Source organism: Homo sapiens, chromosome 1, assembly GCF_000001405.40.
Source record: "Homo sapiens chromosome 1, GRCh38.p14 Primary Assembly".
Lineage (NCBI taxonomy): Eukaryota > Metazoa > Chordata > Mammalia > Primates > Hominidae > Homo > Homo sapiens.
The window spans coordinates 215,834,211-215,855,331 of NC_000001.11; the positions used below are offsets into that span (position 1 = coordinate 215,834,211).

The following is a 21,121-nucleotide window of genomic DNA, read 5'->3' on the forward strand; positions in this document are numbered from 1 at the left end:
ATATATCTTCACACAAAAACCTGTATATAGATGTTTTACAGCAACTTTAATCGTGGTCACGGAGAACTGAAAATTATCCAAACTGTGCACAAACTGTAGAACTTTCATATAATGGAATCTTACTCAGCAACAAAAACTGACAACTACTAGTATGTATACAACTGCTAGTATGTATATAATAAGATGGACAAATCTTAAATGCATTATGCTAACTAAAAGAAGCCATTTGAATGGCTACATATTATGTGATCCATTTACATGACAATATGGAAAAGGCAGAATTATACATAACAAAACATGGCAGTGTTTGCTTAGTTTTAGGAAGGGTAGAAGAGGGGTTAGCAATAATGGAGACCGACATCATGATGCTGCTTCACATCCTGATTGTGGTAGTGTCTGTTCTTCCTGGCAGCTTTTTGGATGTGCTTTTTAAACATGGTACTCTGCAATTTCCTGATAATATCCCTTTATATGTAATCACTTTTTAGTCATATTGTTGGTATCCAGGGAATCTTTTGATCTGCACAGTAGTACATTGGTTCTGGGATACTTTCTTGTCTTTTTTTTTTTTAAATTTTCTCCCTCTTTTCCTTTGATTCTCTTTTGAAGCTCTTATTATTCAAATATTAGACTTCCTGGATACTCTCTATTGTTTTTTCTTTGTCTCTCTCTCTTTTAAATCTTTGTGTTTCATTGCATTTTCAGAGACATTCCCTTGAACTTTCTTCAAAAGTTTCAATTCAGCTTTTCACCCTTTTAATTTCCATGAAGTTTTCTCCTCGTTGGTTATTTATTTATTTTTTTAAGTATGCTGGTTTTGTTTTATGGTTAGAGAATTTTCTTTTATCTGTCTGAGGCTATAATTTTTTTTCCTCACCTGCATTATCTCTGAATCTATTGTATCATGTCTTTTGTTTATTTTGGTCCCCTTTTTATCTTTAAGAGTGATGCACCAAAAAAAAAAAAAAAAAAAAAAAAAGCTGACTAAAAGCTTTATAGTTAGGTGAGCCTTGTTGATTGGCATACTTCCCTACTGGGTGACCAGAGGACAAGTTGTTTTTACTGTTAGGGATCCCTATATGCTATTATCTGGAGGTATTTTTTTTGAGATCATTCTTTTTTTTCTAGAAAACTATGTTCAGTTTCCTATCTGGAGGTGTTTATGACTTGTCTACTTGCTTTTGAGGGCAGAACTGGGAAACTTAGCCAAAAAGCCCACCATTCAGGTTGTAGTCTCACTTTATCACTGTTTTTACTTCTGTGTCTCATCTCAGCTCCCCTCTGCCTAGTAGCCCTCAGTTTCTCCAGAGAATAAATGTCTAATCTCCTGGTCGGTGGACTTTGTCATGTGGAGGAAGAGAAATAGACCCCTGGATGCACAGCAAAGATGCAAGAGACCTGGGATTCCAAACACTTATTTGTTAACAGTTGTGTCTCACCCCATGATTTCAGCTTTAAACCCTACCCTCTCTCCTCCTCTTTACATCCTTAAAACTTCTAAGTGCTCAGCCTCTCCAGTTCTCTGTGGAAAAAACAGTTTGTTTCCTGTCATTATTGTCTTTTGTCAACCAATATTTTGGTTGTAAATTTCTCCACTGTATTAAATCATTTGCTTCTTTCTGACAAATATTGCTTACAAAATTGTGTTGCAATCTCTTTTCTGTTGTTGTCTCCTCTCTCACTTTCCTTGTTCTTGTTGTATAATACTCTTTTTAATGTTTCTGTCATCAATTTAATGTATTTGGATACAAGCAATTTTTAATAGCAACTAAAAATATTTGTCCTCTGTTATTATGTGCAATAATCTTCTTAAAGGAAAAAAAACCTAGAGACACAGTCACATTTGTTCCATTTCTTATAAAGCTTAGACGTTATTTTTAGTTATAAATAAATATGTACTATGAGGCATATTCTGTTACGTCATTCACATGGGCTTGAGTCATGGGGATGCCAGCAGACAAGAATTTGAAAACATCCACCCACCTAACTATAATTCTTCCTTGAGCTTTTCAAGACTGAAGTCAAAGGTCACATCTTCCATGATGCCTTCACTGATAATTCTGGGTAAAGTTTGCTATTTTTCTCTTTATGTTCTTGCACATCTAAACCTCTTATTATAGTGTTTTTTACATTGTTCTATAAACATTTATTTAGGGGAGTATCTTCCCCAGTGGACTGGAACTTTGCAAATTTAGAATCATGTCTTATGCTCTTTTGTATTACTTTTGCCTTCTATGTGTGTGTGTATATATATTATATATATATATATAATATATATTATATATATAATATATATTATATATATATAATATATATTATATATATATATATAATATATATATATATATATATATATTTTTTTTTGAGACAGAGTATCACTCTGTCGCCCAGGCTGGAGTGCAGTGGCGTGATCTCGGCTCACTCCAAGTTCCGCCTCCCAGGTTCACGCCATGCTCCTGCCTCAGCCTCCCGAGTAGCTGGGACTACAGGTGCCCCCCACCACGCCCTGCTAATTTTTTGTATTTTTAGTAGAGACAGGGTTTCACCATGTTAGCCAGGATGGTCTCGATCTCCTGAGCTTGTGATCCGCCCGCCTCGGCCTCCCAAAGTGCTGGGATTACAGGCGTGAGCCACCACGCCCCACCTTGCCTTCTATATTATTATAGCCACAGATGTGTTTGCTAAAGAATAAAGGTCTCTAACGCCCATTTAATATGACTATTTCCTCCCTGCATAGTAGATAATACTGTGAATAGGTTGGGGGATATCTGCTGGGGGGATTATAAACTAATTAGTATGCCAAAAATTAGATCAGTATCTATCATGTGTTTGATAGAAGATATACTCAAGCAGACAAGATATGATTATTGCCACGAACAGCTAACAGTCAGGTTAGTTGAATTTTTCTAATTATTTTAACCATTGGTTGCCAAAACCAGTACTAATTTTTTGAACTGATTTAAGATCCAGAAATTTCAACATGTCATAGAGAAATCCTTCAGAATTGAAACATTAATAATAGACTTATTATTTCAGTGTGTGTATGTGTCTGTGTGTGTGTGTGTGTTGTTTGCACATGTAAGAGAAGGGTGATTCATTTGGCTTAAGCAAAAAGTATAATGTGAAAGCACTAAGATTTCTTTTCCCAGCCTCAACTTGATACAAACGGATGAACAATTTACCATCTTATTTTCAGCTTTGGAAACAATACCAAATATTATTATTATTGTTGTTGTTACTAATTATGAATTATAAAGAGACTCGCTTTCAAACTATGGTCATTTCTCAGCAACAAAAGAATAAAGAAAAATAAAGTGATTCTACCAAGAAGCTGACAAAATTGGTAATGCTTATCTAAACATTATCTGCCCTACTAATTTTACAGATTTCTAGCTTTAGGGCACTCTGATGTATATAAATCAATTTTTTTTCAAAAAGATTAAGTTAGAAGGTAGTCATTACAATTAAGCTTGTATTATGCTCCGCAAAAGGATTCACTAAAGGACACATTCAAATAAGGAGACATGTATTTCAAGTATTTGCTTACAGGTTACTAAATAAGAAATCTGAGGCTGGGCAATCAGGGAAATTAAAGATTAAATGCCATTGGATGTCCAGTGAAGATTAATATCTGTGAAATAATATCAAAAATTTGATTTACACACATACTTATAATAACCCATTAAATGAGATTGTCATGGCTGAGAGGATACCTTTGATTTTTATTTTCATTTCTTCTGATCAGAGTTCCTTAGATTTAACTGACACAAAATTTTGTACCTTGAAGTGATGCCACGAATTGTGGGTGTTGGTATATCACTTGGAGTGTCTTCCACAGTGGTAATTTGGGTTCCATTGCTTTTCACGCAGGCATATATTGTGCAGACTTCAACCTGCAAACATTAGTTTAGAAAAAATAAATGCAACCATTTTTGAAATACTTACTAACAATAGTCTGAATCCCACCTTCCCTCATTTCACATGAATCTCTTGTATTTCTCTATAGCCTCTTGAGGTTTAATCAATATTCATTTTTGATGTTAACTGACTCCAAAGGAATGAGCTCAGAGGAAGGTACGGAATTGGGATCAAGATAATTGATTTAGTAATGGGAATGATGATGTTTACTCTCTGGTTGCAACTATTCACAAAGAGAAAGATACATTAATCTACTGAAGAGCATAGTCAAGGAATGGAAGATGCCCAAGTGACAGTTTGCAAGCATAACAGGTTATCACTGCTCACTGTTCTCTAAATCTATAACTAAGTAGTGTAATGATGGTATCTTCTGGAAGTCTTGACACTGTAAAACAAATAGCCTAAATGCTAATGTCTAATGGAGGAAAAATGAGGCCTAGAGAAGCCTTCCAATATGGCTGAGGTATTTTATATCCATTTGTTCCAGATGCAATTGTATTTTTACCTTAATCACAGCAGAAAATCATCATTCATCCCTTTAATTCTGCCACCTAATCTGAATAAAAACCGAGGAGGGTGGAATAACTGAAGATTAGAAATGGGGTTCATCAAGCATTAGTCACACAAAAGGAACACGTTAACCAAGAGGGAGGAGAGAGAAATGAATATGCAAAAGATTGGGAACATCTGCAAAGCGATATCATTCTGCTCTCAATTAAAGGATAAACCAAAGAGAAACTGTACTTTTTACAGTGCTAATTTACTTTAAGCATCTAATATATAAATAGAGAAGGCAAGCTAGGTACTGATGAATCTTAAACATTAATTCCGAGCTTTTATGTGAAACAGTTCTCTGTTCCTTTGGTGGTTGAGGAAAGGCAAATGGGATTCTTGTATTTACTAGATATGCTATTTTATTCATAGGGTACCTAAATGTTAGTTGAGGCATATGTTCATAATGCTGTATGAGTTGTGTTACTTATTGATGCCATATAGTCTTTTGAGGTATTAATAGTGGATATTTAAACACTATCAAGGGCCTACATTCTGAGCATGTCCAATTAAATCTGAAATAAAGGCAGATGAACTTAAAATATAATGCTGTAATATAATTAATGAAAATGAACTTTATACATATTGGAAAAATTTGATTCTGTGATACATAATGAGATAACCCAGAATCAATTCAACTGAATTTATTATGTATCTAATATGTGCCAAATATTATAATGGATATATGCACAAATAATCGTATTGATTCCTCATAACTCCATTTAAACAAATTTGCAGAGAAGCCAGGGAATATTGTCAAGCTGGTAAGATTTGGGATATCTGAGTTGTTCTCCACTGTACCCTACTGGCTTCTCATCTAAATGTTAAACATAACTTTAAGCTCTAAACTACTTAGGTATATTCAAATGTTTCTCCAGAAAACATTTCTTTTGATTCATTGGTCAAAGGAAAATGACCAATGACTACTGCTGGTAGCCAGATGATTATATATGTTTTAACCTCAAATGTTAGAGAAATGTGCCAATATGTTTTTATTCTTACTAATGTTAACATTCCCAGTCTCCATTTTGGGACCTATTTCTAGTGCTAAAACGATATTGTATAACATGTGAATGAAACACAAATATAAAGCTTACTGTATTTATACTAAAAAGAGGTAAAACTGAATAAAAATGAAATTATTATTTCTTTGTAAAAGGGACATATAAAGGGATTATTCAAAAAGTAGATACTTGGCTAGGTGCAGTGGCTTACACCTGTAATTCCAGCACTGTGGGAAGCTTAGGCAGGCGGATCACCTGAGGTCAGGAGTTTGATACCAGCCTGGTCAACATGGTGAAACCCTGTCTCTACTGAAAATACACACAAAAGAATAACCTGGTGTGGTGGTGGGCACCTGGAATCCTAGGTACTTGGGAGGCTGAGGCACGAGAATCTCTTGATTCCAGGAGGCAGAGGTTGCAGTGAGCCGAGATCGTGCCAATGCACTCCAACCTGGGTGAGAAGAGTGAGACTCTGTCTCAAAAAAAAAAAAAAAAAAAAAAAAAAAAAAAAGTAGATACTTGAGTGTGTTATGTGCTTTAAAATCAATAGCTATTTTACAGATGGGGTTAGCATAGAGAGCCTTAATTCTAAAGTATTAGGCATTCCAATCAAATGCTTATTTTAAATGAAACTAAATCACCTTTGACATCGTAATGAAAATCACTGAAATTTGATGTTCAAATTTCCAGAAATGCAACAGCTATATCAAGTACAGTATTCCTGGACTGCAAAAAGCTTCACAAAAAATATAGTAATCAGTAATAAGAATATCTTAGGCACTAATAACAAAATTCTATTATTGGATTCTACTTTGATCTTTTGTATTTTCATCTGTTTCCACTCTCCTCAGGCTACCAGAAGAGGAGGCTTTATACCTACTGGCTTGAGTTATTTATACCTGACTCAAACCAGTAGTGGTATAAATAAAGCCTTTTCCATAGAATAGGCCTTAAACACTTTTAAACGTTAACTCTTGATCCAGAGTCAGAAAGCTGAGCTGCACATGCATGCACAGCACACAGTGTTCTCACTTCTAGGTTGTGTGTTTCGAGTCTTGGTAAAGCAAATGAATAAGGTGCCTTTGAAAACTCAGCTTTCCCGAACACTGGTCAAAAGAAGACAATACGGCAAATCCTCCATCACCTTCCTGTGTTAGCCTTTTTTATATAGCTATATTTCTAATTTATTTGGAGCATGATTTCTATTTCATAATTTGGCCTATGGTCTACCTGCATACATGGACTCACCATAAGAATCATGAACATAAACATCAGTCCACATATTCCATGCTAAGACAACTCAGGTAGGCTATGGGAATCATGGTGTGCAATGAAAACAAACCACTGCTTAAGAAAATCAGAGAGGACACAAATGGAAAAACATTCCATGCTCATGGATAGGAAGAATAAATATCATGAAAATGGCCATATTGCTCAAAGTAATTAATAGATTCAATGATATTCCCATTAAACTACCAATGACATTCTTCACAAAATTAGAAAAAACTACTTTAAAGTTCATATGGAACCAAAAAAGAGCCTGTATAGCCAAGACAATCATAAGCAAAAAGAACAAAGGTGGAGGCATCACACTACCTGACTTTAGGCTATACTACAAGGCTACAGTAACCAAAACAGCATGGTACTGGTACAAAAACAGACACATGGACCAATGGAACGGAATAGAGATCTCAGAAATAAGACTGCACATTTACCACTATCTGATCTTCGACAAACCTGACAAAAACAAGCAGTGGGGAAAGGATTCCCTATTTAATAAATGGTACTGGAAAAACTGGCTAGCCATATGCAGAAAATTGAAACTGGATCCCTTCCTTACATCTTATACAAAAAGTAACTCAAGATGGATTAAAGACTTAAATGTAAAACCCAAAACTATAAAAATCCTAGAAGAAAACCCAGGCAATACCATTCAGGACATAGGCACAGGCAAACATTTCATGACAAAAACATCAAAAACAATTGCAACAAAAGCAAAAATTGACAAATGGGATCTAATTAAACTAAAGAGCTTCTGCATAGCAACAGAAACTATCCTCAGAGTGAACAGGCAACCTACAGAATGGGAGAAAATTTTTGCAATCTATCCATCTGACAAAGGTTTAATATCTAGAATCTATAAGAAACTTAAACAAATTTGCAAGAAAAAACAACCCCATCAAAAAAAATGGGCAAAGGACATGAACAGACACGTCTCCAAAGAAGAATTTATGCGGCCAACAAACATATAAAGCTTACTATATTTATATTAAAAAGAGGTAAAACTGAATAAAAATGAAATTATTATTTCTTTGTAAAAGGGACATATAAAGGGATTATTCAAAAAGTAGATACTTGGCTGGGTGCAGTGGCTCACACCTGTAATCCCAGCACTGTGGGAAGCTTAGGCAGGTGGATCACCTGAGGTCAGGAGTTTGATACCAGCCTGGTCAACATGGTGAAACCCTGTCTCTACTGAAAATATACACAAAAGAATAACCTGGTGTGGTGGTGGGCACCTGGAGCTCAACATAACTGATCATTACAGAAATGCACATCAAAACCACAGTGAGATACCATTTCATGCCAGTCAGAATGGTGATTATTGAAAAGTCAAGTAACAACAGATGCTGGTGAAGCTGTGGAGAAATAGAAGGGCTTTTACACTGTTGGTGGGAATGTAAATTAGTTCAACCATTGTGAAAGACAGTGTGGTGGGTCCTCAAAGACCTAGGACCAGAAACACAATTAGACCCAGCCATCCCATTACTGGGTATATACCCAAAGAAATATAAATCATTCTATTATAAAGATACAAGCACATATATGTTCATTGCAGCACTATTAACAATAGCAATGACATGGAATCAACCCAAACGTCCATCAATTATAGACTGGATAAAGAAAATGTGGTACATGTACACCATGGAATACCATGCAGCCATAAAAAGGAATGAGATCATGTCCTTTACAGGGACATAGATGGAGCTGGAAGCCATTTTATCCTCAGCAAACTAACACAGGAACAGAAAAACAAACATCACATGTTCTCACTTATAAGTAGGAGCTGTACAGTGAGAACACATGGACACAGCGAGGGGAACAACACACACTGGGGCCTGTTGGGGGGGCATCAGGGGAGGGAGATCATCAGAATAAATAGCTAATAATACATGTACAGGTAAATACCTGGTAGATGGGTTGTTAGGTGCAGCAAACCACCATGGCATACGTTTACCTAGGTAACAAACCTACATGTCCTGAACACGTATACAGGAACTTAAAATAAAATACATTTAAATGAAAAAAAAAGAAAAATAATTAATGTACCTTTCTTCTTTATTCAAAGATATTTTTATTTGGTTTTCTTAGGAAGCTAGGTCTATGAGTCAGAGTAGGGGAGACTAAAGTGTTGGTTGTAGCCAGATGATTATATGTCTTAACCTCAAATGTCAGGAAAAGGAGATGGAAACCTGAATGAGGTAGTACTATTAAATGGATAGAACCAGTAAAAAGTTTCTGTGGTCATATAAAATTTCTGTGCTTAATATCTTCTGAAAATTATCTTACGAAGCTCTTATGAATTTTAGAAGTAGCATAGTTTATTAAAAAATTTTGTAAATTGCAAGCTTTCTCTAAATGTGGGGTTTCTGAAATACTCTGATTTTTTTTTATCACTCATTTGCACATTTAGCCTTGTTATCTTTTATGGCTTGGTACTCCAACAAGATTTCCAATTCCGTGAAGATAAGTTCCTTGTTTTATATGCCTTAGTATTCCCTATACTTTTTCTACTTTTAAGGCCAGTAGCCCCTGAAGAAGTCTATGAATTTGACTTCAAGTGATCAGTGCACTTTCTGAAATTATGTGTTAAATTTTGTCATACAAGTGCATAAATATTTTTCTAAGGCAGAGTACACTGACTTCATAAGATTCTCAAAGAAGTCCAAGGGCAAAAAATTTTAACCACAATTGCTCTCACATATGCGGAGAACATTGAACATTTTTTGAGTGATGAATAAATATATTTCTTTCACCTTCAGATAAAACCTTTTAATATTTTTTGTCTGCTATATTTTTTATATATGTCTTCCTGTTGCATTCAGAATCACAGAATGCTAGAGGTGGCTAGAATGTTTTAAGACATCTAGTCCATTGCGCTTACAAAAGAGGAAATTGACACCAAGTGAAGTTTCATAACTTCTCTGGAGATATTAAATTAGTAAATAGGAGAAATGGGAAGAGAAAAAAACATCTCCACATTTACAAACTGATTCTGATTTTGATTTCAGTAAAAGATCCTGGGAAAAGGTAAGCTGCTCAACAAGATTTATTTAGAATACATGATTAGCTTTATTTTGCCAGTGAGAATTTCATCACCATCCTCATCACCATCGTTTTCCATATTATCATTATCTTCTCTCCAGAGACTCACATGTTTGCCTACAGCACACAGATTTAATTCTGATCAATTTCCCTTCTCTCTTTTCCCTTCCCCACCAAAGAAATAATCTGTAACCAAGACAGAAGATATCCACTTGAAGACATAGCCTGGCATGTTTTATTTAACATATCCATAAGCCTAACCATCAAAAAACAATGTTCTAACCTGAATGTCATAGATAGTGAAGGGAGACAGGTCTCTCAGAATAAACGACCCAGGCACATTCATTCCAGTCTTGTAGAGCTTATTATTTACATAGATAGAATACTCAGTGACAACACCATTTGGGTTTGAAGGAGATGTCCAGATGACACGTACAGCTGTACTGTTGATGATGACAACCTCTGGAGGAAGCATGCCCTGAGGCTCTAGAATTAAAGGAAGAAACTGAATAAACTCCAGCTGTCTCTGAAAAAGCACATGTTAAGCTAAATGCAGATTAGTATTTAGGTTTAGCAAAGGGTTCCTCGCTTATCTGCTTTTCGCTGATGAAGTTATCACAGTCTGTAGTCCTCTGTAAATTGGCTTATTATACTCTCAGTTAGAAACCATAAGAATTGGTGGTAAAATGCTTTATACCACCAGCATAGTGCTAATCTTCAATACTATGTGACCAGTGGGATATGATGATAAATTATTCACCCATCTGCACCACTAACACTTATCTATTTTTTGTCTTTTTTCCATCCTTTCACTCTATACCTCCAAGGTGCAGGGGAGGGAGGGAAGGAAATAAAATTTGCTCCTTGAGCAAAAAATAAAACTCAAATACAATGAGGCTGGTGGAACGTGAAAAATCATTTGATGTTACTAGCTTGTAACTCAAGCAATATGAAGCAATAATGCAATATTGTCATTATGTAAATGATTTTGAATGTTGATTACCATAGGTAATGATGAAATCTAACATAAGAAAAAAATCTTGCTTAGCGTTAAATTGCATAATTATTCAAGCATGTCAGAAATAACTATGCAAAGACCTATTTTTATCATAAGAACCCATCTTAACTAGTTGAAGAATTGTCCTTGTGATCTACCCTATTTTATAAACAAAAGGTGCCGACCTTTGGCACCACAAAGGGAAATGGGTTCCACACTTAAAGAGCTCTGCTAATGACCTGGAACACTTGCTTGGGAGGTAATGATATTATAATGTTTATAATGAGACTTTATAAAGCCAAAAAAGATTAGAAAGACCATTCCAAACACATTTCAGATTCACAAGTTGCTTCCCTTGCTTCCTCCCCCTTGCTAACTGGCTTAGAAATGAGTCACAGGCAATTTTTCTCAGTGGCTGAACTTCCACCTACCATTTCTGGTGACTCAGGGAGGGCTCTCACTGTGTTTGGCTGTCGTTTTGAAAAACGTACTGCTTCTGAGGGCAAATCTTAAAAAAAAAGTTTCTAAATGTCACCATTTATTGATGTGAACTCAGTTCTAAAATAAGTATACACTGAAAAGAACAGGAACAAACTGGGCTAATATCTCATTATTAGAGCTTGTGCTTCTGTCTCAATGGGACTGCTTATTGATCTGCTACTGATGACAGTGAGCACTTAAGCATTTTAGCCTCCACCCCCTTCCCTCCCACACCGGAAATTTTATAATGGAGGGATGACTGATCTCAACCCCGGCAAGAATCAATCAATTTCATTCGCATCTCTGAGGCAAATATCCTTTAGAATCTGGACTCACCCCCATCGCAAGTGGTTGCATGAAGTCCTGCACTGTTGATGCTGTGGACTCCATTGAAGACAGAGATAAAGATCCAATACTCTGTGTTTGGCTTTAGGTGGCCAATGACATGAGAGTTTACATCTGGCAAGATTTTTAGAGAGTCGTTTGAGGTAGCAGAACTCCAAAAAAGTGTGTAATATTCAACTTCACCTTGTAGGTCTTGAACAGCTGTCAACAATAAATGCAGGACATGGTGAATGTAGCTGAGGCTTTCAGGGGAAAAAAAAAATTCTATCATTAGCTTTCTAGAATGAGAAAAAAAGAAGTTTAGAGAGCCTTTGTTTTGGAAATGTTAAAAAAAGCTTATGAGATCTCCTTTTTGGTGGTGCTGGTGGTGATAGTTTTTATTTTATTTATTTATTTTTGAGACAGAGTCTCGCTCTGTCACTCAGGCTGGAGTGCAGTAGTGTAATCTTGGCTCACTGCAGCCTTGATGTCTTGGGCTCAAGCGATCCTCCTGTTTCAGCCTTCCAAGTAGCTGGGACTACAGGCTCAGGCCATCACACTAGTTAATTTTTATCAGTGTTTTGTAGACACAGGGTCTTGCTATGTTTCCCAGGATGGCCTCAAACTTCTGGCCTCAAGTGATTCACCCACCTCAGCCTCCCAGACTGTTGGGATTAGAGGTATGAACAACTGCACCTGGTCAGTTTTTATTTTTTAATAATTTGCGTTTTTTCCCAATCTCATAATTAATTGCAGTCTTATGTAGGAATATGAGTCTTATAAAAGTCTCATCTTTTTAATTTCCTTTAAATATTTTAATTTTGCTACTTATAATTATTCAATGAATCATCAGAACTTTGATATAACACTTATGAAAGGAAACTAAGATGAAAATGAAAGTATACAGTACATAGAACAACTTCTGCTCATAAGTAACATAATCTTAGAGAGAAGACTAGGCTAATACAAATAAGAGCATTTCCTGACACAGATCCTAGAGACATTTTTTTAACTTGCTAACAACATTCGCTAACTGATACCTAGAAGGATGCTTAGAAAGATATCCTTTTATATACATTGTCAATGTAGCAGGGCTACATAGCATGCTCCCCTTAAGGACTGGCTCAGGATAATACTTAAATTTTTATCAGGGCTCTCATCCTTCTCTTCTAGTTCAATGTGTTTCTATAATGTAGAGAAGCCTTTAAAAGATACCAAAATCAATCACTAACTGTCTTGCAAATATAACTCATCAATTCTTCAACCCTTATCCTTTCAAAGACCAGTCTATTATTTTTTCTCCTCTTCCTCCCAATTTATCCATTCTTTTCCTTAGGCTCTGCTTCTCATTATCTGCCCACAATGATTCTTTAACAAGAGAACATGAAAACAGCCATATTTTCTTAGGTAGGAAGTATTATGCTGCTCTACTTACATCAGTATTATTTTCAGAGACTTTTAAGCAGAAACGATTACCTTAGTTTGTTAGGATGGGGGTGGAGTGTTGGCTTACAAGCCTTCTGAAATTTCATGTCAAATTATGCATCAAAAATTGCTCAGGCTGGGCACAGTGGCTGACACCTGTAATCCTAGTACTTTATGAGGCTGAGATCACTTGAGCTCAGGAGTTCGAGACCAGCCTGGGAAACGTGGCAATACCCCATCTCTACATGAAACACAAAAACTAACCAGGTGTGATGGCACACACCTGTAGTCCCAGCTACTCAGGAAGCTGAGGCAGTAGGATGGCTTGAGCTCAGGAGGCAGAGGTTGTGGTGAGCTGAGATCGTGCCACTGTACTCCAGGCTGGACAACAGAATGAGACCATGTCTCAGGAAAAAAAAAAAAAGAAAAAAAGTTAAACAGCATTAGTCCAAGGATTGGGAGGAAAAAGTGGCATTTCTCCTTATGGCTATTGAAGTCCAATTTCACTTATATGTGAGATCCCAGCATATGGCCATATAAAGTAATATAGCTTTGAGAATAGTATGTTTCTTTAAAGGACCCCTTTACATTAAAGTCTTGGTGATTTTGCATAAAAACTGAATACTAGGTTTTTCTTTTTGTTTTTCCTAAATACACTACTGCTTTCACTTTAGCTCTAGAAATAGTTAAAAGGGTATGATGTGCCAGTGTAGTTGGAAGAGTTTGTATTGGAAGACCTTTAGCAATTAATTTGGAAAATTCTGGGTTTTGCAGTGTTTCTTTCCTCTGATGTCACAAAAATGTAAGCACATGCAATAATGAGGTCATTATTGATCATCGGCAGGAACTGACTATTAAAATCCCTTAACATTTTCCTGAATGATAATATTCGTCAAGTACAGCAAAGCCATGGGTGTAGTGAGTGCAAACGTTTCTTCTGTTACTAGCATCATTTTCTACTGTCTCACAGCATTATTTATTACTCATTAATTTGTGGCTGCTATGGTATAATGCAAAGTGTACTAGATTTGTAGTTTATGTTGAATTTTAGTTTGTTAAGTGAGCAGGCTGATTATAAAGTCAAGCCCTAAAGATATAATATTAATGAAATGCTTTCAAACTTCACTTACGTATATAAATTAATTTCACTTGGGTTATTAAATGTGCCTGTTATCTGCACTATCAAGTTCCAATTAATATACCTATGTAGATACATTAAATATATTTCCACTAGCACAAGTTCAAGATGAGCAAAGATCACATGTCAATGTCTGGATGAGACCCCATTAAATGTCCTTTCTTAGCCATGCACCGTATGCCAGTCCCTCTGAAACAGAACAGAACCTAGGACAACAGGAAAAGATGGTGATTCCGTTCCATTGTTTATGTCTTACTGCATGATATGGAGGCTCTTGAGAACAGAAACAGGCAGCACTTCTGGGTAACAAGTACCGGATTTCTGGCCTATTCTCCCTGTTTCCAACATTTGCTTCAACACTTGTTTCTCCACTCATGTGGATGTTACACTTGGAAGTCCAAAACATAGAAAAATGTAGAAACACATACAATTTTATACATGTTCCTGGTTATCACATGAGAAGTTCTGGGAGCAGTACATGCATAGAAGCATCTTTTTCATTGCTCAAATAAGGTCTTTAAACTTTGATGTACTCTTCCTAAGTCAGTGAACCATCTAAGAAACAGAAGATACATCTTCAGTTCAATAGACCAGCACAAAATTAAAGGCTGATGACCTTGATTTTACCTCTGAGAGAGGAAGGCTATTAACATGGAAACAGCTGAATGAAGAGGCAAGTAAATTTCACCCTCCCTGTCTATTGAGAAAAGCTGGGTCTGAATGTATCTCTCCTTTTTTAAATAGAAAAACATAAGTTACAAGGCTTCTTCCTAGCATAAGACAAGGGAAATCTTGTCTAGAACCTTCCAAGGCAGAAGTTTTGTGTATATTACTTCTATGACAATGGGATGGAGGTTTTATAAAATATTTGCATGGTGTACCAAAAATAAAAAAGGGACATTACTTTATGAAAAAGAAGCCTCTATGAAGTAGGTTTGTAAAATCATAAAAAGACAGCCACAAAGACAGAGATGTAAAGGGGTCTGCCTTAAATAAGAAAGGAGAGCAAGGAACCATGTAAAGCAATGGCAGAATTAAAACGTACGTTGAAAGCAGAAATGAGCAGAGTTAAAAATGCACAATATCAAAGAATTAACAGGAAAATGACAAGGACATCAGTGAAAGTAAAAATTATAGACATCGAGAACAGAAAAAGTCTAATTACCTTAAAAATAAATGCAATAAATAATTATGGATATGAAATGCCCCAATAAACCTTACCCAAAATGACTTATGTCTACAAACTGAATAGACTAATACAGTTTTCTCCAAAATAATCACAATATATCCAAACATAGACATATCATGGAATATTGAAACATTTTAAAGGTAAACCAAAAATTAGGAACATTTATAAAGGAGAAAAAAATCAGATAAGCTTCAAACTTCTTATGTGGAATGTCAAATGTTGAAAGACAATGGAACAATTTCAACAAGTTTTGAGGGGAAATAGTTTAATCCAAGAATTTTATACACATTTAAATGGTTACTTATGTGTAAAAACAACAGACATACTTTCTTATTTGGGCAAATTTAAGAGAATGTGCAAAGATGAGAGAAATACTTTCTTATATCACCAAACATTTAGAGAACATAAAACTAATTAATTGATCTTTTTAAGTTTCATGATAAAACTATCCAATAATCTTCTTCAGAAGACAGAAAGATTAATCAAGATCCAGAACTCAAGATTGGGAAAGTTTAAGAATTGCTGATAAGTACTGAAGCTATTTAGAGAAAATAGTTGCATAAAAAAATTATATCATAACAACAATATTAACAATAATAATAAACTGAACATTGAAAACAGCAGATGAGAAAGGCAAGAAAAGTAACAGCATATTAAGTTCTTTATTACATATAAAATAGAATGGCATGAAAAAACAGAGAAAGACATTAGTAACCATTAATATCATTAATACCATTTAAATTTTAAAATATAGTCGGAAGATAAAAGCTATCTTCTGTAATCTGAAGGCAAAGATTTCTAGAACTCCCTAATACCAACATTTTTCTCTTCTTGTCAAATCATTGAACTACATTTTCTGGGCCCCATGCATCTGGACTGAGATGTGAAGGAGCAATTGGCCGTCTATGAGGGTCTAGTTTTCCCATCTAAGGTAGGACTCTAAGGCCCTGGGGAATGGTGGATTCACTAGATGGAAAAAGCCTGTCTTTAATTGACACATAGGAGTTTAAAAAGGGCAACATAATAATAGCAGGGGACTTCAATACTCCACTGACAGTACTAGACAGGTCATCAAGACAGAAAGTCAACAAAGAAACAATGGACTTAGAGTATACCCTAGAACAAATAGACTTAACAGATATTTGTAAAACATTCTACCCCAAAACTGCAGAATATACATTCTATTCATCAGCACATGGAACATTCTCCAAGATAGTCCATATGATAAGCCACAAAATGAGTCTCAACAAATTTAAGAAAATTAAAATCATATCAAGTACTCTTTCAGATCACAGTGGAATAAAATTGGAAATCAACTCCAATAAGAACACTCAAAATGATGCCAATACATGGAAATTAAATAATCTGCTCCTGAATGATCATTGGGTCAACAATGAAATCAAGAAGAAAATTAAAAATTATTTGAACTGAATGATAATAGTGATACAACCTATCAAAACTTCTTGGATATAACAAAAGCAGTGTTAAGAGGAAAGTTCATAGTCTTAAATGCCTATATCAAAAACTCAGAAAGACCACAAATAGACAATCTAAGGTCACACCTCAAGGAACTAGAGAAACAAGTACAAACTAAACCCAAACCCAGCAGAAGAAAAGAAATAACCAAAATCAAAGCAGAACTAAATGCAATTGAAACAAACAACCAAAACAATACAAAAGATAAATGAAATAAAGACCTGTTCTTGGAAAAGATAAATAAAATTGACAGACCATGTAGGAAGATTAACCAAGAAAAGAAGAGAGAAGATCCAAAAAAGCTCAATTAGAAATAAAACAGGAGACATTACAACTGATACCACAGAAATACAAAAGATCATTCAAGGCTACTGTGAACACCTTTATGCAAATAAACTAGAAAACCTAGATAAACTCCTGGAAATATACAACTCTCCTAGATTAAACCAGGAAGTAATAGAAACTCTGAACAGACCAATAACAAGCAGTGAGATTGAAATGGTAATTATAACGTTACCAACAAAAAAAGTCCAGGACCAGACAGATTCACAGCGGAATTCTATCAGATGTTCAAAGAAGAATGGGTACCAATCATATTGACACTATTCCAAAAGATATAGAAAGAAGAAACACTCCTTACATCATTCTTTGAAGCCAATATCATTCTAATACCAAAAACAGGAAAGGACATGACAAAAAAGAAAACTACAGACCAATATCCCTGATGAACATAGATGCAGAAATCCTTAACAAAATACTAGATAACCAAATCCAACAGCATATCAAAAAGACAATTCACCATGATCAAGTAGGTTTCATACCAGGGATGCAGGGATGGTTTAACATATGCAAGTCAATAAATGTGATACACCCCATAAACAGAATTGAAAACAAAAATCACATGATCATCTCAATCAATGCAGAGAAAGCCTTTGACAAAATCCAGCATCCCTTTATAATTAAAACCCTCAGCAAAATAGGCATAGAAAGGACATACTTTAATGTAATAAAAGTCATCTATGATAAACCCACAGCTAACATACTGAATGGGGAAAAGTGGAAAGCTGTATTAGTCTGTTCTCATGCTGCTGATAGAGACATACCTGAGATTGGGCAATTTACAAAAGAAAGAGGTTTAATGGACTCACAGTTCCGCATGGCTGGGGATGCCTCACAATCATGGCAGAAGGTGAAAGGCACATCTCACATGGTGGCAGACAAGAAATGAGAGCTTGTGCAGGGAAACTCCCCTTTATAAAACCATCAGATCTCATCAGACTTATTCACTATCACAAGAATAGCATGGAAAAGACCCGCCCCCATGATTCAATTATCTCCCACTGGGTCCCTCCCATAACACATGGGAATTCTGGGAGCTAAAATTCAAGATGAGATTTAGGTGGGGACACAGCCAAACCATATCATGCTGCCCTGGTCCCTCCCAGATCTCATGTCTTTACATTTCAAAGCCAGTCATGCCTTCCCCACAGTCTCCCACAGTCTTAACTCATTTCAGCATTAACTGAAAAGTCCACAGACCAAAGTCTCATCTGAGACAAGGCAAGTCCCTGCTGCCTATGAGCTTGTAAAATCAAAAGCAAGTTAGTTACTTCCTAGAAACAATGGGGGTACAGGCATTGGGTAAATACAGCTGTTCCAAATGGGAGAAATTGGCCAAAACAAAAGGGCTACAGGCCCCAACGCAAGTCCAAAATCAAGCAGGGAAGTCAAATCTTAAAGCTCCAAAATGATCTCTTTTGAATCCATGTCTCACATCCAGCTCATGCTGATGCAAGAGGTGGGTTCCCATGGTCTTGGGCAGCTCTGCACCTGTGGCTTTACAGGGTACAGCTTCCCTCCTGGCTGCTTTCACAGGTTGGCATTGTCTGTGCTTTTCCAGGTGCACAGTGCAAGCTGTTGGTGGATCTACTATTCTGGGGTCTAGAGGACAGTGGCCCTCTTCTTACAGTAGCACTAGGCAGTGCCCCAATGAGGACTCAGTGTGGAGGCACCCACCCCTTTTCCCTTTTGTGCTGCCCCAACATAGGTTTTCCATGAGTGCCTGCCCCTGCAGCAAACTTCTATCTGGATATCCAGGTGTTTCCATACATACTTTAAAATCTAGGTGGAGGTTCCCAAACCTCAAATCTTGACTTCTGTGCACTGGTAGGCTCAACATCATGTGGAAGCTGCCAGGTCTTGGGGGTTGCACCCTCTGAAGCCGTGGCCCAAGCTCTACATTGGGGCCTTTCAGCCATGGCTGGAGCCACTGAGAAACAGGGCACCAAGTCCTTAGGCTGCACACAGCATGGGAACCCTGGGTCTGGCCCTTGATACCACTTTTTCCTCCTAGGCCTCTGGGCCTGTGTTGGTCGCAGCTGTCATGAAGACCTCTGACATGCCCTGGAGACATTTTCCCCATTGTCTTGGGGATTAACATTTGGCTCCTCATTACTTAGGTAAATTATGTAAATTTCTGCAGCTGTCTTGAATTTCTTTTCAGAAAATGGGACTTTCTTTGCTATCACATTGTCAGGCTGCAAATTTTCTGAACTTTTATGCTCTGCTTCCCTTATAAAACTGAATGCCTTTAACAGCACCCAAGTCACCTCTTGAATGTTTTGCTACTTAGAAATTTTTTCTGCCAGATACCCTAAATAATCTCTCTCAAGTTCATAGTTCCACAAATCTCTAGGGCAGGGGCAAAATGCTGCCAGTCTCTTTGCTAAAACATAACAAGAGTCACCTTTGTTCCAGTTCCCAACAAATTCCTCATCTCCATCTGAGACCACCTCAGACTGGATTTCATTGTCCACATCATTATTAGCATTTTGGTCAAAGCCATTCAACAAATCTTTAGGGAGTTCCAAACTTTCCCACATTTTCCTGTCTTCTTCTGAATCCTCCAAACTGTTCCAACCTCTGCCTGTTACCCAATTCCAAAGTTGTTTCCACATTTTTGGCTATCTTTTCAGCAGCATACCACTTTACTGGTGCCAACTTACTGTATTAGTCTGTTCTCATGCTGCTGATAAAGACATACTGGAGATTGGGCAATTTACAAAAGAAAGGCTTACTGGGCTCATAGTTCCACATGGCTTGGGAGGCCTCACAATCATGGTGGAAGGTGAAAGGCACATCTTACATGGCGGTAGACAAGAAAAGAGAGTTTGTGCAGGGAAACTCCCCTTTATAAAACCATCAGATCTCATTAGACTTATTCACTATCATGAGAATAGCATAGGAAAGACCCACCCTATGATTCAATTATCTCCCACTGGGTCCCTCCCACAACATGTGGGCATTATGGGAGCTACAATTCAGGATGAGATTTGGGTGGGGATACAGCCAAACCATATCAAAAGCATTCCCCCTGAGAACTGGAACAAGACAAGTATGCCTACTTTCACCACTTTTATTCAACATACTGAAGCAGCATCATTGTCTGGGGTAAATATCCATGGTTCATCATCTCATGCCAGGGAAATCAAGGATGCAGGCACACAGTAAGTTTCAGAGTGGAGGTTTAATAGGCAAAAGAAAGAGAAAAGAGAATAGCTCTCTCTTCTGCAGAGAAAGAAGGGCTCCCAAATGGGTCTTCCAGTCCACGGCAAAGTGCACGGAGCTTTATAGACTGGCTTGAGGAGGCAGTGCCTGATTTACATAGGGCCTAAAGATTGATGGGACTGTGTGTGCCATTTACATAGTGCATGAATAACCTGGTCACCCCATCCTAATCTTTTGTTATGCAGATGGGTTCTCTACCTGGCCAGTGCCATGTTGTCTGTTTCTTACTGTACATGTGCTCGACAAAGAAAAGGGCAGATGGAGCCACTATGTTGAACATGCCTTGCCCCCAGGTAGCCTTTTTCTGTTGGTGCAGCTGCTGGCATTCATCCATGCAAGCTTCCAGCTTGCTTATCTATGTCTGCAGTTCAATTTAACAGGCTGCTCTTTGTCAGAAAAGAGATAATTTGGGGGCTGCTGCTCTCCATTAAAAGGAAAACCTTATTGAGGACTCTCTTACCATCCCTATCTGCCTAATTTCTTTTTAACTCCTATATCAATAGTATGTAAATCCTAGCCAAAGCAATCAGACAAGAGAAAAAAATATAGGGCATCCAAATAGCTAAAGAGGAAGTCCAACTGTTGCTGTTTTCTGATGACATGATTGTGTACCCAGAAAACCCTAGAGACATTTGGATGACTAAAGAGTCATCCAAAAACCCTCTAAAACTGTTAAATAAATTCAGCAAAGTTTTGGGATACAAAATTAATGTACACAAATCAGT

At 36.8% G+C, this 21,121-nt stretch overlaps 1 protein-coding gene across 1 annotated transcript in view; it reads right to left on the minus strand.

The window, feature by feature from the left end:
• The window catches only part of USH2A (usherin), an 800,558-nt gene that overhangs the window by 211,320 nt on the left and 568,117 nt on the right, over positions 1-21,121 (minus strand). Inside the window, exons 45-47 of the mRNA NM_206933.4 lie at positions 11,614-11,823; positions 10,084-10,286; positions 3,781-3,893 (exon numbers count right to left, since the gene is read on the minus strand). Coding sequence (NP_996816.3) covers positions 3,781-3,893; positions 10,084-10,286; positions 11,614-11,823 — 526 coding nt within the window. The remainder of the gene's footprint in view (positions 1-3,780; positions 3,894-10,083; positions 10,287-11,613; positions 11,824-21,121) is intronic.